Raw genomic sequence first — 26749 nt, forward strand, 5'->3', positions numbered from 1 at the left:
TCCCCCCAGAATTAAGAACACAAGTATACTGGCCTTGTGGGATGGTTAGAGACTGAAGTAGGGAATGCACGTTAGGTCTGTAACACAGTGTTAGTGTTGGGTTGAGATTTTCACTACTTTTTGGATACAGTAGCTCATCCAGGACTCAGTGATGGAAATCATGGCTGATAAGGTTAATATTAATATTGTTAATGGTACAAATATCATAACTAATACCATGAAATAATCTGAAAACTGGAAATCTCCTTAAATTTCTTCTACCATTATATATCTCCATTTAAGTCCACTTTCCTCATGAAAACTTTTCAATTTATTCTGCTATTCCTCACAAGGTTGCATTCCATAAGTAGTGCTGACTGGGGCAGAGGAGCAGAGGGAGAGTCCCGCCTGCCTGAGGAGAGTAGCTTGGAGTGCAGAACGAGTGCCGAGCAGGAGAGCAGCAGTAGGCACAGTGAGCCCTCTTCCCAGTCCCCAGTGAAATCTAAGGCATTTAATTTATTAACTGTCAGGCAGAGAAATATTTTTACAAGAAATCACAGCAATAAATGCTGCAGATGCCCTAAATATCAAGTATTTATTTGAAATATAAACAAAATATTTATTTTCAAAATGCCATATTTATCCCCCAAAATCATGCCTAAAATGTCCAAAATTCCGTGCATGGTGATTGAAAAATGAAGTTAAAGCACATGAGGCAGTTGTGTTGAATCTTTCATAAAACCGCAGCCCTGCAACCAAGCCTAGGGATCCTCTTGTCCTGCATCTCCTTTGCATAACAAACTAATCACCACCCCCTCCCATAAATTCATAGCTTTGCTCAGTGACTGCTTTGTCTGAATATTTCAGTTTTAATTTTCCAGTTGAATTGTTTCAATCATGCTTGATACAATTGTCTCAAAGTTAAAAAGCCCACTAACTTCTAGACTAATGAAGAGTCAGGAGCTCCATGACTGAGGTTTGGTCATCCTCAGGGTTGCTGTACTGCAGGTTAGAGAAATAATGCTGAGGAAAAAACTAACAGTGACTGAGGCACGTGGAAATGCAAAGTGAAATACAACGCACTGTTCCTAGGGCAAAAAAAAAAAAAAAAAAAAAAAAAAAAACAACAACAAAAACAAAACCATACACACAAAACAAGAGACCAAAAAAAAAAAACAAAACCTGGGACTTCAGGAAACCTAAAGTCAGAATTACAAAGAGCTAGCAACAAGAGTCAGGTATCTTTGTTCCTTACTTATCCCCTTTATAAAGCACTGAAGAAACGGGTTATCAAGACACCTTTCCACAAAGAGACGAACATTGCACATAGAGCACAAACCATTTGCTCCACCTCTTCTGCTCCATCAGAGAATAAATCTAAGCCACGCCAGCTCAGTGAAGCTGCTTTCACCATTCTAAGGCCAAAGCAAAGGGGTTTAAATTCAGAATGAAAATGAGAAAATTACATCATCAGTTTCTTCACATTAGGGAATTGAGATGAGTGTTTATTGCTTAATTCTTTGCACCGTTTTCCCTTTTTTTTTTCTGCTTATTCATCTTCCCTGTACTTGGCATTGTCTCTTCCCTGGAGCTTCTACTTTCTTTAAGACCATCTCAGAATCCATTATTTTGGTATTTTTGTTTTGTTTTGCTATTTGTTTTTGATAGTTATATTCTAACTTTCCAGTTACAGTCCACGTGGTAATTAAACATGTTTTTCATTTATGCGATGCGTCTATCCAAAAGCAAATCCATCTTTTTCATGACATTGCACATTTTTAAACAACTTCATTTTTCTAGTTTAAAATTATATTTTCGTATCGGACATTTAAAGTAAGCTCTTTGTAAAAGCAAATCTGAATTTCACAAAGGGAGGATCATGGAAAACCAGTGTCAGAAATCTGTAAACTAAATATAAAATCCTAAGACCCCTAATCAACTGAACAGACCCCCTTCTAGGACAAGAGAATCTCAGGAAAGCTGAAAAGCTTAATTGCAGGACATAACAAGAAGGGAGACACACTTCATTATACCCCTGTCTGTTGGAATTTAGGCACAACTGACCAGCAATAACATTGAAATAGAGTTCCTAAGACTGACAAAACAGACTCTGAGTGGCAATAAGATACCAAATTCCAACCTGACTCTAGTATAGCATCACATGACAGATAGCAGACCCTGAGGAAAATCAAAATATTCCACCCCAAAGTATGTCTTTGACATATTTTGAAATGGCCCTACAAAGCCATCTTTCGTGGGGAAAAGTTGCATCTATAGAGACTTTCCATTAACACAGCAGGGGCTTTCCCAGATTCAGGAGAAAATATCGGAGTCTGACAACATTTAAGGTTCTAAAAGAAACATTTACCATTTATTATATTTGCTTCCAATTAATTGTGTAATCTTAGTCAAGACCCTAAAAGCTCTGAGTGTCACTTCCTCAATCAAATAAAAGGAGGAGTGTTATGTACTTGCTATGCTTCTGTGACTCTTAAGACATCTATGAATCTGATGACCGAATGTGGTCTAAGATTTCTCCATGACAGGGTGACCTTCTCCCACATCGCCCCTCTCCTTAAAGGCTCAGAGACTTCCCTTGAAATATTAGTCTCATCGAATTTAGATTATATAATTTGGGAATGAAAAAGAATGGAAAAAGGGAGCCACTTTTCTCAGTGCCTGCAAGGTTCCGAGACTTTGCTGAGTCTTTCTAGCATGACAAACGTACAAATACTGAGTAGTGTATTCATCCCTGTGTACAGTCATCCCTCACTATCTGTCCTCAGTACCAGGACATCGTGAAAATACCAAAATCCATGATGCTAAAGACCCTAATATGAAATGGCAGAGTATTTCTATATAACCTACACCAATCTTCTCGTATGCTTGAAATCATGTCTAGATTACTTATAACAACTAATGCAATATGAATGCTATGTAAATAGCCGTTATACTATTTTTTTTTTACGAAATAATGACAAGGAAAAAAAGTCTGGAGGATGGAACAAGATGACAGAATAGAAGTTTCCACTGATCATCCCCCTGCAAGAACACCAATTTAAAAACTACCTACACAAAAAACACCTTTACAAGAACCAAAAATCGGGTGAGCACTCACAGTACATGGAGTTAAATTCATATTTCTGAATGAGGCATTGAAGAAGTTAGAAAAACAGTATTGCATCACTGACACTACCACTCCTTCATCCCCCAGCAGTGGAGGTGTGGTATGGAGAGCTTCTCTGTGCACTGGGGAGAGGGAGAGCCAGCAATTCTAAGACACTGAACTCAGCAATGCCCTTGTTATAGCAGAAAGAAGACCCAGACCAAATTCAGCTGACACCCACCATGAAGGGTGCATTTAAATCAGCCATTGCTGGAAGGGAATTGCGAATCCCAGTGTTTGGAACTTGAGTTACCCAAGCCTCACCATGAAGGGCTAAAGTGGCTCTGGAGCCACAGACAAACCTGAAGGGCAGTCTAGGCCACAAGAGCTGCAAATCCTAATGCTAATCTGGGCCCAGAGCCAGTGGACTCAGGGGACACATGACCTGTTAAAACACCAGCCAGGGCAGCTAAACTCATCCCCTAACCTCAGCCTCCACGGCTTGTGGCTCCAAAAGAGGCCTCTTTCCTCTGCTTTAGGAGAGGAGAGGGAAGAGTGAGGAGGACTTTGTCTTGCATCTTGGATACCAGCTCAGCCACATCAGGGTTGGATACCAGCCAGAGTCATGAGGGCCTTGGGTGAGACTCTGAGACATGCTGGCTTCAGGTGAGACTCAGCATATTACCAGCTATGGTGGCTATGGGGCAAGACTCCTTCTGCTTGAGGAAAGTGGACAGAAAATTAAAGGAGATTTTGTCTTGCACTTTAGTGCAACTATTGTTACCATTGTTATTCAACATATTACTGGAAGTTCTAGCTAGAGCAATCAGACAAGAGAAACAAACATATATATATATATATATATATATATATATATATATATATATACACACACACACACACACACACACACACACACACACACACACACATGCATACGGCATCAAACGTCAAAGAAAAGTAAAATTATCTTTGTTCACAGATGATAGGACCTTATGCTTGGAAAAACCTAAAGTCTCCCCAAAAACCTATTAGAACTAATAAACAAATTCAGGAAAGTTGCAGGATACAAAATCAACATACAAAAGGCAGATTTCTATAAGTCAATAGCAAATAGATTAAAACAAATTTAAAAAGTAATGGCATTTATGATAGCCACAAATAAAATTAAAGAGGAATTAACCAAAGAAGTGAAAGAGTTCTATAATGATAACTATAAAACAGTAATAATTGAAGAGGACACTAAAAAATGAAAAGATATTCCAGGTTCATGAACCAAAAGAATCAATATTGTTAAAATATCCATAGTACTCAAAGCAATCTATAGATTCAATGTTATCCTTATCAAAATACCAATGACATTTCTTACAGATATAGAAGACACTATCCTATCATTTGTATGAAGGCACAAAACACCCAGAGGAGCCAAAATTATTCTAAGCAAAACCGCCAACCAACCAACCCACCAAAACTGGAGGAATCCCATTGCCTGACTTCAAATTATACTACAGAGCTACCATAACCAAAACAGCATGGTGCTGGCATAAATGCAGATACATAGACCAATGAAACAGAATAGAGAACTCAGAAACAAATCCACACACCTACAGTGAACTCATTTTCTACAAAGGTGCAAGGAACATACACCAGGGAAAAGATCATCTCTTCAATAAGCAGCACTGGGAAAAGTGGATATCTATATGAAGAAAAATGAAACTAGTCCCGTCTCTCGCCATATACAAAGATATAGTCAAAATGGACTAAAGACTTTAAGACCTCAAACTATGAAACTACCAGAAGAAAACATTGGAGAAAATCTCCAGGATATTTGTCTGGGCAAATATTTCTTGAGTAATACTCCATAACACAGACAACCAAAGCAAACATGGACAAATGAGAGCACATTTTGTTAAAAAGCTTCTGCACAGTGAAGGAAATAAATCAACAAAGAGACATCCCACAAAATGGAAGAAAATGTTTTCAAACTACCCACCTGACAAGGAATTAATAACCGCAATACATAGGGAGCTCAAACAAATCTATAGGAAAAAATATAATAATCTGATTTATATACTGATAAAAGATTGAATACACATTTCTCAAAAGACAACATACAAATCAAAAACAGGCACATAAAAAGTGCTCAACATTGATCAGAGAAATGCAGATCAAAGCTACAATGAGATACCATCTCATCCCAATTAAAATGGCTCTTATACAAAAGACATGCAAAAATAAATGCTGGTGAGGACATGGAGAAAAGGGAACCCTCATAAACTCTGTGGGAATGTGAAGTTGCATTTAAAGTTGTATTTAAAGGTGCAACAGAGAACAGTTTGGAGGTTCCTCAAAAAACTAAGAATAGAGCTAACGTATTATCCAGCAATCCCACTGCTGGGTATATAGCCAAAAGAAAAGAAATCAATATACTGAAGAGACATCTACACTTCCATGTTTGTTGCAGCTCTGTTCACAATAGCTACAATTTGGAAGCAACCTATGTGTTCGTCAACAGATGAATGGGTAAAGAAAATGTGGTACTTATACATGATAGTGTACTATATAGCCACAAAACAATGAAATCCTGTCATTTGCAACAACATAGATGGAATTGGAGGTCATTATGCTAAGTCAAATAAGCCAGGCACAGAAAGACAAACATTGCATGTTCTCAGTTATTTGTGGCACCTTAAAATCAAAACAATTGGACTTATGGAGATATAAATTAGAAATATGCTTAGCAGATACTGGGAAGGGTACTGGGGGGGGGTGAAGGGGTAGGTGGGGATGGTTAATGGATACAACAAAGTTGTTAGAATGAATAAGTACTAGCATAATAGACTGACATTGTCAATAACAATCGTACATTTAAAAATAACTAAAAGGATATAGTAATATTGTAACACAAAAGATAAATGCTTGAGAGGATACTCCATTTTTCATCATGCATTTATTATACATTGCATTCCTGTATCAAAACATCTCATGTACCCCGTAAATGTATACACCTATGTCACAACAAAAATAAAATTTAGAAAAGTCTGTACCAATGTGACCATGATAAGCCTAATTATATTTTCAATCCATGATTGGTTAAGTCCATGATTGGTTGAATCTTCAGATGCAGAATCCAACTCATAAGCCCAACTGCAGAAGCAGATACTGACACCAGGAGACAGAATGAGCATATTCTGTCCTTGGCTGGTACCCACCCTATCTTCCAACATTGCTTCTTCCAATATCTCAGAGTATCCTTAAACCACACACTTTCATATTCCTTCATAACTTCTTGTATCCTGCTTCCTTGCTGTGAATTTACCAAATGCATTTCTGTATAAACTCTACCAGTCATAAACACTTAGATAATATGACAATTTCTTTATGAAGGCGTGCTCTACTCAATCAGTGAGAACTCTCACACCTCAGACATAACAATCCTTCTTTTATACCCTTCACACAAGCCTCAACTCACTCTTGTATTTTAATTATTTCTAAGTTTCAATGAAAATTCCACATGAATATGTATAATTAGAAATTACTTTAATGAGCTGTATAGGTATGAAAGTTAAAAAACTAAATAAGTGTTTAAAAATCGCAGGTGGAGGGTTGATAATACGTAAAATTGCAAAATTCTAGATACATTTTAGGTACTGCTATGAAATCCTTAATGAGCTGTACACTTATTTTTTTTATGGATATACTTCAATAGTTGTACAAGCTTCATGTATAGCCACAAATATAAACATATTCAAGAACATAAAATGACAAAATGGTCAACAAATTTATCATCTTAGGTCCTTGAGGGACTTTTGATGAGTGGACCCTGAGTACCATCTGACAGATTTACAATGTGAACATCACATAAACAATGTTTTTGTGCAGCTTGAGATGTTACTATGGCATTACCTTGTGCATTCTGACTGATCCATAATTATATTTAAAATTTGCAACAGTGCTCCCTATTTTATGTTCATAACATATATCATCATCTGGCATGACCACATCATATGTTTTACCTATTCACTGTTTGGGTTTTTGTTATTGCACAAGGAGACCAAAATATATTCATTTTCTTCTCTGTTGCTTTCTAACATTAGCACTATGCCTGGCATATATCACTTTCGCACCAACATAATAGTAAAAATTGATTATTTGTTAAATAAATGAAGAAGGGAAAATGATGGTTAGAGAGATTAGTGCAACTCCTTTAGAGATGAATTTAGTAATATCTCATAACATTGAAGATGTTCTTTCTTCACTACCTAAGACTTCCAAGGAGATTATACGAGGATAGACACTCTGTTACACTATAAAGCATGAAAAAAGTGGTAAACCTAAATATTCATATAAAGAAAATGCACACATGACCAATATTAATACCAATTTATTGTGAACATTTCAATAAGTAAAGTTGAAGGAAAATATATGTGGCAGAATGATCAGTGTGTTACCATTTAACAAATACATCCTGCTAAAATATTACATTTGGACACATATCTGCAATAAAAACATTAAAAATTGATAGGGAAGATACACACCTACTGTTTAAAAAAATTGGTCTGAGGACACTAAGAGAGGGAATTCAGGAGAGCACAGATAAGACTTTGATGTACCTGTAAAATATATACCCCCATTTTTGAGTCAGGGTCTTGCTCTGTCACCCAGGCTGGAGTGCAGTGTCACAGTTGTGGCTCACTGCAGCTTCAATCTCCCAGGCTCAAGTGATCCTCTCACCTCAGCCTCCTGAGTAGCTAGGACTATAGACACGTGCCACTATGCCTCCCTAATTTTTTTAAATTTAATTTTTGGAGAGATGAGGTCTCACTATGTTACCCAGGCTGGTCTCAAATACTTAGGCTCAAGCAATCTTCCCACCTCAGCCTTCCAAAGTGTTGGGATTATAGGGCATAAGCCACTGCCCCTGGATGATGTACCTATGATATATATATATTTTTTTATTTCAATAGGTTTTTGGGGAACAGTTGGTGTTTGGTTACATTAAGTTCTTTAGTGGCAATTTGAGAATTTGGTGCACTCATCACCCAAGTAGTGTACACTGTACCCGATGTGTAGTCTTTTATCCCTCACCTGCTCCCACCCTTTCCCCCAAGTCCCCAAAGTCTATTGTATCATTATTATCCCTTTGTATCCTCATAGCTTAGCTCCCAGGTGTGAGTGAGAACAATGTTTGGTTTTTCATTCCTGAGTTGCTTCACTTGGAATAATGGTCTCTAATTACATCTAGTTTGCTGCAAATGCCATTATTTCATTCCTTTTCATGGCTAAGTAATATTCATATATATATATATATATGCATATATAGGAATATATGTATATATGTGTATATATGTATATATAAATATATGTATATGAATATATGTATGTGAATATATGAATATATATGAATATATGAATATATACGAATATGAGAATATATGAATATATATGATTTTCTTTATCCACTCATTGATTGATGATCATTTGGGCTGCTTCCATATTTTTGCAATTGTGAAGTGTGGTGCTGTAAACATGTGTAAGTATCTTTTGAATACAATGACTTATTTTCCTCTGGGTACACACCAAGTAGTGGGATTGCTGGATCAAATGGTAGATATACTTTTAGATCTTTAAGGAATCTCCAGACTTTTCCATAGTGGTTGTACAAGTTTACATTTGCACCAGCAGTGTAAAAGAGTTCCCTTTTCAGCACATCCACACCAATGTCTATTTTTAAAAAATTTTTTGATTATGGCCATTCTTGCAGGAGTGAGATGGTATTGCATTGCGGTTTTGAATTTCATTTCCCTGATAATTAGTGATGTTGAGCATTTTTTTCATGTTTGTTGGCCATTTGTATATTTTCTCTTGAGAATTGTCTATTTGTGTCCTTAGCCCACTTTTTAATGGCTTTGTTTTGTTCTTGCTGATTTGAGTTTCTTGTAGATTCTAGATATTAGTCCTTTGTTGGATGTAGAGACTGAAGATTTTCTCCCACTCCATGGGTTGTCTGTTTACTCTGATGATTATGTCTTTTGCTGTGCACAAGCTTTTTAGTTTAATTAAGTCCCATTTATTTTTGTTTTTATTGCATTTGCTTTTGGGTTCTTGGTCATGAAGTCTTTGCCTAAGCCAATGTCTACAAGTTAACATTTTCTGACGTTATTTTCCAGATTTTTAATAATTTCAGGTCTTAGGTTTAAGTCTTTGATCTATCCTGAGTTGTTTTTTCTATAAGGTTAGAGATGAGGTTCCAGTTTCATTCTTTACATGTGGCTTGCCAATTTTCTCAGCACCATTTGTTGAATAGGGTGTCCTTTCCCCACTTTTATGTTTTTGTTTGCTTTGTTGAAGATCAGTTGGCTGTAGTATTTGGTTTTATTTCTGGGTTCTCTATACTGTTCCATTGGTCTATATACTGATTTTTATGCCAGTACCAAGCTATTTTGGTGACTATGGCCTTATAGTATAGTTTGAAGTCGAGTAATGTGATGCCTCTGGTTTCGTTCTCTTTTCCTAGTCTTGCTTTGGCTATGTGGGCTTTTTGGTTCCATATGAATTTTAGGATTGTTTAGGATTGTTTTTCTGTGAAGAATGATGGTGGTGTTTTGATGGGAAGTGCATTGAATTTGTCCATTGCTTTGGCAATATGGTCATTTTCAATTATTGATTCTACTCACCCATAAGCATGGGATGTGTTTCAATTTATTTGTGTCATCTATGATCTCTTTCAGCAGTGATTTGTAGTTTTCCTCATAGAGGTCTTTTACCTCCTTGGTTAGGTATTCCTAAGTATTTTATTTTGCAGCTATTGTAAATTGGGTTGAGCTCTTGATTTGCATCTCAGCTTGGTGGCTATTGCTGTATTAACAGAGCTACTGAGTCGTGTACATTAATTTTGTATTCTGAAACTTTGCTGACTTCATTTACCAGTTCCAGGAGCTTTTTGGATGAGTCTTTAGGGTTTTCTTGGTATACGATCATATTATCAGCAAACCGACAGCATAACTTCCTCTTTACTGATTTAGATGCCCTTTACTTCTTTCTCTTGTCTGATTGCTCTGGCTAGGACTTCCAGAACTATATTGAATATAAGTGGCCAAAATGGGCATCCTTGCCTTGTTCCAGTTCTCAGAGGGAATGCCTTCAACTTTTCCCCATTCAGAATAATGTTTGCTGTGGATTTGTCATAGGTGACTTTTATTACCTTACAGTGTGTCCCTTGTATGCTGATTTTGCTGAGGGTTTTAATCATAAAGGGATGGATTTTGTCAAATGCTTTTTCTGCAACTATTGAGATACACAGAATTAAAAACAAAAGTCACATGGTTATGCGATGTATCACGAGTTGACTCATATATGTTAAATCAACCCTGCATCCCTGTTACGAAACCCACTTGATCATGATGATTTATCTTTTTGATATGTTGTTGGATTCTGTTAGACAGTATTTTGTTGAGAATTTTTGCATGTATGTTCATCAGGGATATTGGTCTATAGTTTTGTTATGTCCTTTCCTGGGTTTGGTATTAGGGTGATACTGGCTTCATAGAATGATGTAGGAAGTTTTCCCTCTATCTTGTGGAATAGTGTCAGTAGGATTGATGCCAATTAATTCAGCTGTGAATCCATCTGGTCCCAGACTTTTTTTGCTGGCATTTTTTAATTACCATTCCAATCTTGCTGCTTGTTACTGGTCTCTTCAGAGTTTCTATTTCTTCTTTGTTTAATCTAGGAGCATTGTATATTTCCAGAAATTAATTCATCTCCTGTAGGTTTTCTACTTTACACGCATAAAGCTGTTCATAGTAGCCACGAATAAGCTTTTGTATTTCTGTGATATTGGTTGTCATATCACCTGTTTCATTTCTAATTGAGCTTATTTGGCTATTCTCTTGATTAATCTTGCTAACAGTATCAATTTTACTTATTTTTTCAAAGAACCTACGTTGTTTCATATAGCTTTTGTATTTTTTATTTCAATTTCATTTAGTTCTGCTCTGATGTTTGTTATTTCTTTTCTTCTGCTGGGTTTGGGTTTGGTTTGTTCTTGTTTCTCTAGTTCCTTGAGGTGTGACCTTAGATTGCCTATTTGTGCTCTTTCAGACTTTTTGATGTGGGCATTAATAGTATGAACCCCATGTGATTCAGGAATTCCATTACTAAGGATGTATCCAATTTAATTGGGCATGTCAAAGAGATATCTGCACTCCCATGTTCATTGCAACATTATTCACAATAGTCAAGATATGGAATCAACCTAAGTATCCATCAATGGATGAATAGATATAGAAAACAAGACATATATCCACAGTGAAATGTAATTCAGCCTTTAAATAGAAGAAAATCTTGTTCATGTGTCAATGTTCTATATTGTGTTGTATATATCAAAACATTATAATTGTATATATAATACATATGTGTATATAATGTATATTATATATAATACATAATTACAATTATATGTGTAATATATATGTGTTGTATATATCAAAATTGCTAAGTGGGTACATTTTAAATGTCTCACCATGAAAATTGGTGATAATATGTTCATTAGGTTAATTTCATCATTACAAATAATATTCGTATATTAAAATATCACATTCTACCCCATAAAAATCTATATTTTAATATTTCAATTAAAAATATTTTTAAAAATAATGCAATAAGAACATGAAAGTAGAAAAATGATTATAGACCTTTGGTGTGGAACTGAAATCAGAAACACAAATATTAACCTATGATTTCTACATACATTTATAAATAATTGATGGTGTCTACTTCATTCTTTACTCGTTTTCTTTCCACATTTTGTAGATATAATTTGAGATTTTTTTATTCTATCTTCTTGAAATAGGAGATTAGTCAATATTTAACCTTTCTTCTTAATGATCTACAGGGATAAATTTTTCTGTAACCACTGCGTTAGCTGCATCCTACACGTTTTATGTCATGTTTATATTATTGTTCTGTCAAAGGCCCACCTGTGTTTGATTTTGGTGAGAATCCCACGTGAACTAGAAAAGAACTTGACTTTTCTTATTGTTGTGAGCATTGTTCCATATGTACAAAGTTTTGTTACCATTAAGTATGTTGTATAAATCTTCTATAACTTTAGTAATTTGGAGGTTTCTGTGCTCTATCACATATTGGCATGTTAACATATATACTATTAAATTGAGCAATGACTGGGCAAAAGGAAAAATCAAAAGAGAATTAAAATCTCAAGACAGACAAAAAATACACTATACTAAAACTTATGAGATGCACCAAACCCAGTACTAAGAGAAAAGTTGATTGCAATGAATAGCTACATGAAAAAAAGAATTCAAATTAACCAACTAACTTTATATATCAAGAAACTAGAAATAGAGAGCCTAAGTCCAAAGTTATAATACAGAAGAAAACATTAAAGTAGAAATGAGACTAGAAAAACTAAAGAAAAATCAGCAAATCTAAATTGTTTTTTAAAAATTTAAAGGTGATAAACCTTAGCTAGACTAAGAAAAAGAGTATCCTCAACTAAAATGAGAAATAGGAGGAGTCATTAGAACAAATGCCTCAAAATGAAAAGGATCATAAAAGACTATTATGAAAACTATGCACTTATAAATTAGATAATCTATAAGAAATCAAACTTGATTTATGCAACCTACCAAAACTAAATCAAGAGGAAATAGGAAGCCTGAACAGAGGAAGAAGATCAAATTAGTAAACAAAAACTTCCCAAAGAAAAGACCGAACCAAATGGCTTCGTGGATGAATTCTAAACATTCAAAGAACTAATAGCAATCCTTCTTAAACTCTTTCAAAAACCAGGAGAATGCCCCAAACTCATTTTATGAGGCCATCAAACACTTATATCAAAGCCAGACAAAGATAATCAAAAGAAAATAAAACTACAGGTCAATATCACTGATAAACATAGGTGTAAAAATCTTCAACAAAATACTAACAAACCAAATTCAACAGCCCATTAAAAAGAGAATAAACCATAGCCAACTGAAATGTATCTCTGGGATGCAAGAATGCTTCAACATAGGCAAATCACTCAGTGTGATATAACACATTAAGAGAATAAAAAAAAATTGCAGCAAAAGCATTTGACAGTTCATGTCAAAACTCTGAAAAACAGGTATAGAAGGAACTTATTTCAACACAACATATCATATATGAAAAGCCCACAGTTAACATAATAAAAAATGAAAATGTTTCTCCTATGGTCTGGTACAAAGCAAGGATGTTCATTGTCACCACTTTTATTTAACATGGTACTGAAAGTCCTATCCAAAGCAATTAGACAAAAAAGCATCAAAATTAGAAAAATATTAAAATAATCTCTGTGCAGGTGACATGGCCATATATATAAAAACCCTAAGACTACACCAAAAAACTATTCGAATAAACAAATTCAGTAAAGTTGCAGAACATAAAATAGCACACAAAAATCAGTGACATTTCTGCACACAAACGATGAGCTATTTGAAGGAAAATAAGAAAGCAATCCCATTTAAAATAGCAAAAAATAATATATTTAGGAATACTTATCCAATAGGGCAGAAGACTCCTACACTAAAAATCATAATACCTTAGTCAAAGATATTGAAGGAGACACAAATAAATGGAAAGACACTGTATTCATTCATTTGAATAATTAACAAATCTTCAAATTTGTAGATTTGAATAATTAACATTGTTTAAAATGTCCTTATTAAGCAAAACAATCTATAAATTGCAATTTCTATAAAATATCACCGGTATTTCTTTACAGAAATAAAAAAACAATAAGTAACTACATCTAGAACCATAAAAGATCTCAAATAGCCAAATCAACCTTGAACAAAACTAGAGGCATCACATTGATTTCAAAATATATTACAAAGGTATGGGAATTATCACTGTAAAGAACTGTCATAAAAAAGAAAAATGGACATATAGACTAATGAAACACAATACGGAGAACAGAAAGCAACCCGAGCATATTTGGCCAACTGATCAACAAAGTGAGAAGGCAACCTACAGAATGGGAGAAAATATCTGCAAACCATATATCTGTAAAGAGGGTAATATCCAGAACTTATAAGGAGCTCAAACAACTCAATAGCAAAAACCAATTACCTTGATTAAAAATAAGCAAAGGGCCTGGGTAGGCATTTCTCAAAAGACGACATAAAAATGGCCACCAGGTAAATAAAAAGAGCTGAACATCACTAAGCATCAGGCAAATGCAAACTAAAACCACAACGAGGTATCACCTCCCACCGGTTAGAATAGCCATCATTACAGATCAAACAAAAGAGAGGGAAAGTGGAGAAAAAGAAACCTTTGAATATTGTTGGTGAGAATGAAAATTGGCACAGCAATTATAAGCAAACAGTACAGAGTTTCTTCAAAAAGTTAAAAATAGTACTATCATATGGTCTAGCAGTCATGCTTCTAGGTAATGGTTCACCCAAAGAAGTGAAAGCGGGATTTCAAAGAGGTATCAGCACACCAGTGTTTATTGCAGCATTATTCACAATAGCAAAAATAGAAAAATAACTGTAAATGAATGAAAATGTAATGAAAATATAAATACACATACTTGCACAATGAAATATTCTTTATTTTTTAGCCCAAAGTAAATCCTGCCATTTGGCACAACATGAATGAACCTGAACTATATTATGCTAAGTGAAAAATACACAGAAAGACAAATACCATATATTCTCACTTATCTAAAATAGTAGACTAGCTCATAGAAACAGTAGCATGTTGGTCCCCCGTGAGGAGTTTAGGGAAACGAATAAAGACTGGTCAAATGCTACAAAGTTCAGTCATGCAAAAGTGAATAATTTCTAGAGGGCTAATATACAGCATGGTGACTATAGTTAGCAATATTGTCTTGTATACTTGACATCTGTTAAGAGAATAAATCTTGTATACTTGACATTTGTTAAGAGGATATCTTAAGTGTTCTAACCACACCAAAAAAAAAATAACTGTGAGGTGATGGAAATGTTAACGAGCTTGATGGTGGTCATGATTTCATAATGTATGAAATATATGTACATAATGTATGAAATAATGTCGGAAGACACCGACACGCCGCGCCGCCGGAGCCCCAGTGCATGCTGGTTGCGCTGAAGGCGACCCCGCCCCAGAATGCACGGAGCCTCCGCCCAGGCCCCGGAAGGACAATGTGCCCGACAACTGGCGATGGCTGTAGGAAGCCATGGTGAGGCGGGGGATGGATGGAACCACCCTGGGCCCAGCAGCTGTGATTGGCAGGAGGAGCCACATCTTTCATTCTTACAGCCTCAGTCTCTCTGCATCCTTATACTTAAGGTGTCTGTAATCATAATATTGTATAATCTGATAATCTCAGTATTTTACTTGGAACATTTAGTATATTACATATTTTATTGATACATAATATTTCTACATACTTATGGGGCACATGTGATATTTTGATACATGCATGCAATGTGTAATAATTACTGATATAATTGGGGTTCTATGTGAGCTATAACTTCTAACCATATTCTATTTGGCCCATCTGTTTCACGTCTCTTTTTCATTCTTTCGTTGCTTCTTTTAGAAATATAAAAATCTATCATTTTTTCATTTTATAAACTTGTTTTGGCGTTTACTATAAACATTACAGCATGTACTCTTGATTTACTAAAGTTTAACACAAATTACTACCTCTACTACATCAATATTGATATATCTTCAACATGATTTTTCATACATTTAAGTTTTGCACAAATCTAAACTGTATATTACATTAAAATTATTGCTAAGTCAATATTGATTATGACTCATTTACATATTACTCTTTGGGGTTGATGTTTGTCATTTTTGCTTATATTTCTGAGTTTACTTTTGAGATAATTTTTCTATGGCTGAAGAATTTTATCCACTTTTGTTTGTTGGAAAAATTTATTTTACTATCATTTTTTATAATTGGAGTTAGACTCAATCTACATCTAGTTCATCCCTATTACTGAGACATGGTCCTACTGGACTCTTGATTGACAGGCTGGTAGATGTCCCTATGCTCTGTCTTGAAAGCATTTCTCCCAATATCAATGTGGCTCATTAACTTGTAAACTCCACATCTTTGCTCAACTATAACCAGTGAGGATTAGCCTAAATCCCTACATAAAACGTGACCCCTACACACTCCAAGACCCCTCTCCTGCTCAAGATTTTCCAACACTTTTCTTCTGATAATACTCCATGTCTTCTTCTCAATTACCAAATTTATTTTCTGTATACACCCTTTAAGTGCTAAAAAAGATGAAGATTTTTATTTGTTTTGCTCACTGATGTATCCTCAGTTTGTAGAACGGGGCCTGGCAAACTATAGGGGCTCAGTAGTTATTTGTTGAATGAATGAATGACTTGGGGCCTAAAGGAAGATTATGTAGTCATGGAAAGTTATCTTCGTATCCTTGTACTTACAGATAAAAAAACATTCCGAAGAGAGGGAAAGCCACGTGAAAACATTGGGTATGGAAAGAACTATAGTGTTTCCAAGGTTGGAGTATGGCCCTCCCAGAGGGAGAGGCAATGCAGTGTGGAAAAGGCCACAGACTCCACAAGACGTGGCACATGCAGTGGTCAGGGGCAGGGACTCCGGCCTGCCTGCCTGGGCTTAAATCCCTGTTGAGCACTTTATAAGCTGCACACCCTTTTGTTCATGTTACTCAAACCCATGGGTTTCAGTTAAATCAACTGTAGAATAAGGCTAATAATAGGCTGTGAAAATAAAAGTGTTCCATACATGTCACGCACTAAAAATGGTGCCAGATCATAATAATCACACAAGACGTTATAATTATTATGTTATTTGTTAAATACAAATACAACCATGCACATACGTAAAACTGTGATTTGAAATTATATTCTAAGTATGTGTCACCATTGGCTTGAACAGGGAGAAGTGTGCGAAACTTCCATATTTCTCTGGTTAAGTCTATGAATAAACCAATTATACTCCAAACATGTTGTAGCCCATGTCTACTGGATAGCCCATGTCTCTGCTCTAATTTTGGGAGGTTTGACTTCTTATATGCTCACAGAAAATAAGAATTTGATTGAGAACACATTCTAGAAATTCTGATGGAAGAAAAATCTCAACTGTACATTTAGCATCTCTGAGGTCTTGAATGTGTTTATCTCCAAATGCCTATGGATGAATGAACCCCCTTGTCCCTGAGGATCCCCTGCTTGGGGCAAGTCAGGGGAAGCCTCAAAGGCTGTTTTGTCATTTGTGAAATGTGGGTGACCTTAGCCTCAGCCACAGAGGGTGAAGGTCGAATGAGGTGGTGAACGAAAAGCGTTTAGCACAGAGTGGATGCTGAGGAACACTCTGAATATGGTGTTATTTCATACTCATCAATGGGCCCATGATAGCAAAACAAATTTTCTCTGTGGTGGAAGGTGCTCAAGGGTCATAAACACATTTATTTTCATATTTCTCCACTGTAATCTAAAAAAAGGACCATTGGCCCCGAAGGACTGGACTAGAGATCAATGCTACGAGGGAAGGGGGGGATAAGTGAACATCATCTCAAGTGTGATTATAGGAGGGAAGAACACTGGGCTGAATCCCCCTGAAGGACAACTCAGGGAGTCAGACACTACCACAATATGCTGATTGTTTGGTGGAAGGACACCTAAAGTGAAGAGAGACTCTAAGAAGAGAGGACCAACTTAAGTTCTTTCACACTTTAATATGGAGGTTTCTGCACGCTCAGCATTTTTTTCAAAGCCCTTGTGACATCCTTATTCCTGAAACTGTAAATGATAGGATTCAAGACAGGTGTAAGGATAGTGTAGAAAAAGGATGACATCATATCTTTCTCAGGAGTTTGGTAGGAGCTGGGGAGCATGTAGTTGTAAATAGCAGCTCCATAGAAGAGGCTGACCACTGTAATGTGGGAGGAGCAGGTGGTGAAGGCCTTTTTCCGACCCTCAACTGAGTTCATCTTATGGATGGTGAGGATGATATAGTAGTAAGACACTGAAATGACCGTCACAGGTATCAGGAGCATGATGACACAGCACAAGTACATGAAAATCTTGTAAAGTGAGGTGTCTGAGCAAGAGAGCTTCAAAACAGCAGGGACCTCACAGAAGAAGTGCTGAATCTCATGGGATCTGCAGAAGGGGAAGCTCATGGCGATGGGAGTGAGCATGAAGCCATCCACTGAGCCCACAAACCAGCAGCCTGATGCCAGGAGGAGACATACCCTATGGCTCATGAGCACAGAGTAACGGAGAGGATGGCAGATAGCCACATAGCGGTCATAGGCCATGGCGGCTAGAAGGCAGCACTCTGCACCTCCCAACTGCAGGTAGAAGTACATCTGGGTGCCACACCCAAGGACCGAGATGGTCTTGTCTTTGGCCAGCTGGTTCACCAGCATTTTGGGGACAGTGACAGAAATATATGTCAAGTCTATGAGTGAGAGCTGGTTTATAAAGAAGTACATGGGAGTATGCAGAGAGGAGTCAATGTGGATCAGAAGTATCAATGTAATATTCCAAGACACAGCCATCAAAAATATACTGAAGATAAGCAAGCAGAGGCGGCCAGGGTGTGAGATCTGGCTGAAGATTCCCAACAGGAAAAAGTCACCACCCAGGGTCTGGTTGGCCAGCCGCATGCTGTATGATCGGCTGAAGTGGCTTTACCTGGAGGACAAAAGTAAACTTTATTTATAATCATGTGTGTACCACGTAAAAGTATGTTTGCTTCACTTTACCTTTTAAAAATCAATGTGAAAATCAGAGTGTATTTCCAACATGAACTGTGAATTTGCACTAAAAAGAGACAGCACATTAGATTGTGAATCTGATTCCCCATCTAGAATGGGAATGAAATATTTATATTCTCAATGAAGAGGTCCATACAACTGAAATTAAATTATTTCCTATAGATTATATAGTCACTAATAGTTATTTTTACTTATATATGTTCACATTTTGTGTGTGTTAGTATCTTATAGTTGCATGTTCCTGTATTGCCCAAATCCCATTCCCATGGGATTTTACAGAGCTAATAACCAATATAGATATTTCTATATATTTGACCCTCAAGAGTCATGTCTGCAAAAAAGGATTAGTAATACTTGTGTTTCTTAAATCTCGTTACAAATCTACGAACATACAATTTTTCAATACTTAAAAGCAATATATTAAGCCACCAGTAATTGTAAACATTTTAAACATAAAATTCCAAACCCTTATATAACGTTACAAATTTAGTCAAATTTCTTTAAATGTATTAAAGACACTAGTACAACTTGTAAATTTCTCTAAAATGATTTACTTTTACACATATGTGATTTATAAAATGTATTTTTATACTTCCACTTAACCTATTACAAAGACATTAATCTTGTGAGTTATTTATTCATATTTTCATAATTTCCATCAAGATGTTCTAATCCGTTGTGTTTCTGCCAATCTTTCAAGATATCAAAAAAAAATTATGGCTATCTCAGATCAATGATGCTTTAGGAATCAGCATTATCATCCAATCAGTTTATTCTGAGGTGATTGGTCTGAACCTCACTTGGAATTTCTTGATGTGAACCTTCTTTATAAAATTAAAGTAAAATGTAATTGGATTTTACAAGCCCACATCTTTTCTTCCAATCTCCCCATTTTGCCTGTAGAATTTTGGTGAGAGAAAGTTTGCCTCAATTTATACTTATCTTATCGTGACATCCAACATATTTATTGTATGCAGGTAGGTCATCCTAAGGTTTCTTCTCCCAGTGGTTCAAGCATGGGGGTCTCTGAAGTTGCAATTTTTTTTAAAGACTACTCAAGTGCACTAGTGAGAAGGGAGGAAAATGTAGAACAAGGAATTCTATCTGTAACTGGCTGTGAACAATCAATTGAGATAACTATCTTCAGATCATCCAAGTTCCAATTTCTTCTCAGAGCATCTAGTCAATTAATCACCTTGTAATAGGCTGTAGGACTCTTCTTCTACCTGGCTATTTTGGGGGGTCAGTGGTGCTGGTCAGCCCTTTCCCGTTGATAGCACTATCTTTCTCTTGTTCAGAATTCTGTGATTTACATATGGATGCTCATTATTATTATTCTCTACTTAAAGAAAATGCATATCCTTTATAAAATGAATAGTTTTAGATATCATTAATGTTCAATATATTAATAACGTGTCAAATGTTTATTTAAATCAGACACATATTCATCCTTTTTATATTGCAGCTTTTCTTATGTAACCTTTTACATTGTAATGTACACTTTATATTTTTTATCATTAACTTAAAATTTATAAATAAGAATTATTGCAATTGGTCATATTATTTCCTTTTTTATTTCAAATATCTTGCCCTGGCCAAGACTAAACTCGTGGGTTTTCATTTTGTTTTAGAAATACTTAGCAAAGGACACAGAAAGCATAAGAGTAAAGTAATGCCAGTTTTTAACAAATTGCTTTCTTATGTTAAGAGACTTAAAACCAAAGGGGACTTAATGTATTTTCAGTAAATAAACATGTCATTGGCCATAACAAATGGTAGATTTTAGTCAATTAATAAATTACTAGACTAATAAACTATATTTTCCTGGAGCAGAAAGTAATTTTCTAAGTATAAAGGCAAAATAAATAATTCCCAATAAACTTCAAAAATTCAGTGGAATTATTTAGTAGATTCCAAAAGACAATGAAGCAACATCATCTAGAAAAATTTGAAAAAAAAATTATGGTCCAAGAATGAAGCATATATCCAGCAGTGAAACAGCATAGAGGCCCTGTCTCTCAGATATCCAAGAACTCAGAAAGCAGAGAATCAGGTAAACCGTTTCAGAAATTCACTATCAGCCCTGCTCCAGCCACTGTCAGTCAATGTCTGTCCCGTCAAATAAAACAACTGCAAAATGTGAGAGTCATGGTACGCCTGGACCAAAGGCGAAACCTGAGACAAATAAAACACACATGTGCCAAATTGAATGATCATCGTCCATCTGTATCACATAATGTCTCAAAGAAAAATCAGGAAGTAGGCGCAAAAGGGGTAAGGAAAAGTAGACTTAACGGAATTTCCACAATTTATAGGAGATAAGCATTTTCACTTGCTGCCCAGCTTCTCAGTGAAATAAGTGTATTTAATGTCCGCTCCCAAAAATGGAGTCCATTTAGGGACAGTGTCCAGGATAAGACTGGTGCCTGTCAGAGCTAATTAACTCTAGGTCTATGTAAGGAGGCCCCTTCCCAAGTTGAACAGGTGGTTTACAATGAGTATAATTATGCAAATCAGCAGTGAGATGGACATGAGCTAGTCAGGGTGAGCATATCTCAGGTTTATTCAGGAGAACAAAAGTGAGAGTGGATATTGCATTTCTTGGCCATGTAGTTCAAGCTACCGTTCTTCCACAGACACTGAAACAAGGGGACTGAGTCCATAAGGCTGCAGAACAAAACTCCCCTTAACCAAATCAATTAATTTATCCACTTCTAGGAAACAAATGACACCAGCACAGACGGCCACGCAAGGCAAAAGAACAGCAATTAGGTTCATTCAAAAGCAATAAAATATTTTAAAGATGAACTGCTATTTCCAAAATGAAACCTTTATGACAAAGCAAGCAAACCAGTTGTGACAGGCTTCACAGTAGTAACATCTGCACTGTAGGAAGGAGAGCACCCCTCCTTCTTGAGTGGGTATTTATACTCCAAAGTGATGTGTCATGCTTCACCCAGGAAGTAGAATTATGTTGCTCACCATGAGGCTGAAACCTCTATCAACCATCTCCCACTCATCCACATCTTCCTGTTTTGGAGTCTGGGAGATCAGTTATTTAAAAACAAGGGGAAAAAAGGAGGAAAGGAAGGGAGGGAGGAAGAAGAGAGGAAAAGAAAACTAATATTCAACATTGCTCCGATTTTCAGAGGAAAAAATGTTTATAATTTAAGTCAGATTTGCCTGGAAAAATATACCACCAGGAGGAAAAGGCTCAAGATCTGAAATCAGTTATTTTTTTAGTTTAGTTCTCTTCTTTTCCGAGGTACGTTGCAAGTCACCTAAAACTTTTGAGTATCTTTTTTTTCCATTTATACCTGTAGGGGTACACACTACTTATTTCTACAGCCTAATTAATAGGATTGCAGAGAGTTTCAGATATAATATGCACAGCAAGTACTTTCTAAATTATAGCTTTGTATTAGGTTAAATATGCTTATGAGTTATTTTATGTGATCTATAATATAACAATGTTAGTATAATTTTACCAATTATATTTGCTGTATTAAATATATATTAACTGTTACATTGGTGATTAATATCAATTGATAATATAATTCTATAATACATATATTATTAAAAGTTAATAACAATAAATTATTCCTTTCTTACTGGAACAAAGGAAGAAATGTAATACCCTGAGGAATTTTATTTCCAATAAGATACTTCCAGTATAGTCGTCCCGATGAATGACAGCCTTGTCATTTTCGTTGTGATCAATCTGCTCTGTGATCAGTGAAACACCAGCCTGCTTTTCTGCGAAAGGGTTTCAGATGATGAAACACTTATGAACTTGATGACTCTCCCTGAAGAGCAGCTGATGCTGCCGAGTCTAACACGTGCGGTCCTGGGACGACAAACTTGAAGAATGATGCTGTCCACAGGGACCCCTCACAGGGCTGTGGTGGCCTCCATGGGAGCAGTCCTGGGGGAGTCTCTCTGGCCTTTGTTGAATGGTAGGGCCTGATTCTATAGACTTTTCCAATTGCCTAACTCCTCTAACCCTCCAAATGAAAACAAGCATCTACTAATGGCAAACAGACTTCACCAGACTGTTTCCTTGAAGACAACTTCGCTCACAGGTCAAACCATTGCATCATCTTGCCATGAGGGAAAAGAGTGAAACGAACCTGAATTAGACAATTGATAACACATTTAATAGAGTATATTCTTCCATTTATTTATTGGTTTTCTTAGTAATAACTGTAGAAAATTTTAAAACTAAGTATTATTATAAAAAGGAGAAATAACAACACATACTATAAAAAGCCAAAGATAACTAGAGTTTGAATTTTTCTTGCTTTTAGGCAGGCATTTTCATGTGATTTTCTTTATAGAATTTTGTATCCATTTGTCTTTGAAAATATGACATTTTAAACCAAAGTGTTTGCATTTGAGTGTCCATAAAATGTAAAACTTATTTGTTATTTCTAATTTCTTATTTATCTCAAACAATTGTGCATAGGAAACTTTTTAATTATGAAAATGGACATTCGTGATTGATATCGCTTTGTTAAATGTATAAACCCTTTTAACTGAAATTTTCATCAGAAGATAGGGTTATTGCTGAAAATTTGAAAAGCATTGAATAATGTAAATAATACAAAATAACATTTTTTACTTTTAACCCTTAGAAGCACCAATTTAGGAATAATGTAACATTTCCCTCCAGGATGTGTTTGGAGACAACTGATATATCCAAAAATTTGGTTTTTGCATTTCAAACAGAAGATTATAGAATGGCCTTTACACTGTAGCATATGACTTTGAAATAATTAATGTAGAACATTGGCTGAGTAAACACATTATATGACCTCCCTGTGTCTTAAGTCTTCAGGGTGTTTTTCACGTTTTGTAACATGAGTGATATTTCAATAAACAGTTCTCTGTTCAATGTGTTTATTTTGGTGGAATTACAAATTTGAAATTCCAGGTGTGATGGTCAGAGGATCTATACCTCTTAGAACATTCCACTAAATGACTTTCCAAAATGTAACCACTATTAAAAGTTTTATAGTTATGGCCGGGAGCGGTAGCTCACGCCTGTAATCCCAGCACTTTGGGAGGCCAAGGCGGGTGGATCACGAGGTCAGGAGATCGAGACCATCCTGGGTAACACAGTGAAACACCGTCTCTACTAAAAATATTAAAAAATTAAAAATTAGCTGGGCGTAGTGGCGGGCGCCTGTAATCCCAACTACTCAGGAGGCTGAGGCAGGAGAATGGTGTGAACCTGGGAGGCGAGGCCTGCAGTGAGCCGAGATGGCACCACTGCACTCCAGCCTGGGCGACAGAGCGAGACTCTGTCTGGAAAAGAAAAAAAATTATAGTTATTTATGGTCCCAAAACAACACATTCGTTATAAAAAATTTACAAATACAAACTTCAAGGAAGGAATAATCTACAGAAATTGAATGTGCCATTGAATATTCTAGTGTTTTATACTAAAAAGTGTATCAAACGTACTTTACCATGTGAGTGTTATTAACATCAGTCCACCTCCAAAAAGTGTGTGCATGTCACATGAGGATACGTTCCAAGCACACGGAAAGTGTTCAGTGATTGATCCAATCAGTAGTCATGCAGAGTAGGTGCTAATAAACACTACCCCGAGTGAGGATGCAGACACGGAGACGCAAAGGGCATAGGGGAATTTCCCCAAGTCAGACAGATGAGTAACAGGGCAGCTGGACTCAAGACAGACTGATAAGTAACAGGACAGCTGGACTCAAGAACGTGCTTCTAGAACCACAATGCTGCACTAACTCCTAATTGCAATTCCTGGTAACAGCTGAAGGATCTTCTGATTATATTGTAGTCCGTATTTAGTAGACTTTTTAGAAAATAAACAGACAAAAAATGCAAAAGTCATTAGCGTACAGCTCAAGTAGTCTTTGGAAACTGAACTCACCACAGCCTGCCCACAGATGCACAATCAGAAGTGAGTTAGCCCCCACGTAGACCCCCAGCCTGCATCCCAATACCCTCCCCAAAGAAACTGTGACTCTGCCTTCCTATAAAGTAGTTTTGCCTGGATTTGAAATTTATGTAAATAGAGTCACAAAACATGCACTCTTTCATGCCTACCTTCTTTTACTAAACATTATGTAAGATTCAAGCACATTTACAGGTAGTTATGTTGGTGGTTTTTTCATTCTTACTCTGTATTGTATGCTCTAAGAACAAAGAACAATTTGTTTATTTTGTTGTTCATGGCAACTTGTTTTCTATCTATGGCTATTATAAATAATACCCTGTGATCATTTTTAATTTGAAATTCACAACTTAAGAAGAGATAATCAGCACACCTTTACATCCACTAATAACACACAGATTGCATAGTACAAGCTAAAAGGATAACGCAAAAAAACAATACCACAGCTAAACTGACCATTTTGACTTTTATTAATTGGAGAAATTTATTGTAAATCATTTAAGTTTTATAAAACTATATACTTTTAAAAATATATATTAACCACTACAAAAAATTTATTCAGTAAAATATTTCACCTACATTTTAAAACATGTATTTTGGTAAACACATGTTTGCATTTCTGTTGCATATATAACCAGGAGTGGGATATCTGGGTCATAGATGGGCACATATTCAGCTCTATCAGATACTATCAAACTGTTTTCCAGAGGTTTTATCAATTTATAGTCTCATTAGCAGTTATTTTAATCATCATAACCACACTGACAGATGTGCTATTTCATTGTGGTTTTAAAGTGTCATTTTTTGACAACTAGCCAAGTTGAAAACCTTTTCATACATTTATTGGAATGTACATTTTGTACATTTATTGGAATAATTTATTGGAATCATGGCTATCATATTTGTAAATTCCCATTCTAGTCTTTTGCCATTTTTAAGTGGATTTTCTGCTTCTTTATTGATTTGTAGGAATTTCTTCTATGTGTTCTATATGAATCCTTCATACATATATCTATTTATAAATATTTCCTTGTTTTCTATGGGTTGCTTTTTTACAATATTAATTTTTTAAAATAAATTTTAATTTAATGAAGTCCAACTTACTATGTTTTCCTTTAGTGTTAGCACTTTTGTTTTCTGTTTAAGAAATACTTGCTTACCTCATCATTATAATGTGTTGTTCTATATTTTCTTCTAAGAGATTATTTTACCTTTTATATTTCAATCTATACAGCCCATCTGAAATATATTTTCTTATCCTGTAGTGTAGGGATCAATATTCATTTTTTCCATGTGGATTGTGCAGTGGAGTCAGAACTATTAAAAGCATCCTGCATTTCCCACTCTGAGTGGTTGCCCTGGTCATAAATCCAATGTACATGTAGGTGTTGATCCATTTCTAGGCTTTATTTTCTGTTCCATCTGTTCATTTGACAATTTGCACAGATACCATGCCGTATAAATTGGTATAGTTTTAAAGTAAAGCACATGGAAATTGGCTGCCACCAGCAAGGAATGGTGGTATCTGTGAGAGGAGTTGACATTTGAAGAGTAACTCCCAGGGCTTTGTTTGAGAGTGCTAATTTAGAAGAGTACAAAGAATGGCTGGAAATAATGTGTTAATATCCACCACTGGGAGCACTAACTTGGCTGACTCTTCCATTTTCAATGCTAAAATTTACTGAAACCTCCAAGGAAAACTCATACTTCACATTTTGAAGAATAAATGCCTCAGATGGAAGAGAGTGATATTGATTCAAGAACCTGGAAAACAAAAACTTATAAGAGGCATGAAGACTATTAATATAATGGAAGTCTTTGTTATGAAGATAAAGTTGTCTTGGAAAATCACATGAAACAATAAAAAGTGTTATTAATATGGAAATTAAAATGTGCTGTGTGAAGGAGTCAGTGGATGAATTTGAAGGTTTGGATTCTCCGGAATTTGAAAATTTATTCATG

The 26749-nt window shown here is 35.7% G+C and overlaps 1 protein-coding gene across 1 annotated transcript; it reads right to left on the reverse strand.

The window, feature by feature from the left end:
- Nucleotides 1-15459: 15459 nt before the first annotated feature.
- Nucleotides 15460-22673, reverse strand: OR2T10 (olfactory receptor family 2 subfamily T member 10). Its single transcript, NM_001004693.2, has 2 exons — nt 22465-22673; nt 15460-18769 (listed from the first exon to the last, which is right to left on the reverse strand). The coding sequence occupies exon 2, from the start codon at nt 18739-18741 to the stop codon at nt 17803-17805; it is 939 nt and encodes a 312-aa protein (NP_001004693.1). The 5' UTR covers nt 18742-18769; nt 22465-22673; the 3' UTR covers nt 15460-17802.
- Between the last annotated feature and the right edge of the window lie 4076 nt (nt 22674-26749).

The sequence above is a fragment of the Homo sapiens genome, chromosome 1 (assembly GCF_000001405.40).
Source record: "Homo sapiens chromosome 1, GRCh38.p14 Primary Assembly".
Taxonomy (NCBI): domain Eukaryota; kingdom Metazoa; phylum Chordata; class Mammalia; order Primates; family Hominidae; genus Homo; species Homo sapiens.

What these genes read in the sequence shown, in the direction of transcription:
- OR2T10 (NM_001004693.2), bottom strand. Translation starts at nt 18,741, where the DNA reads ATGCGGCTGGCCAACCAGACCCTGGGTGGTGACTTTTTCCTGTTGGGA.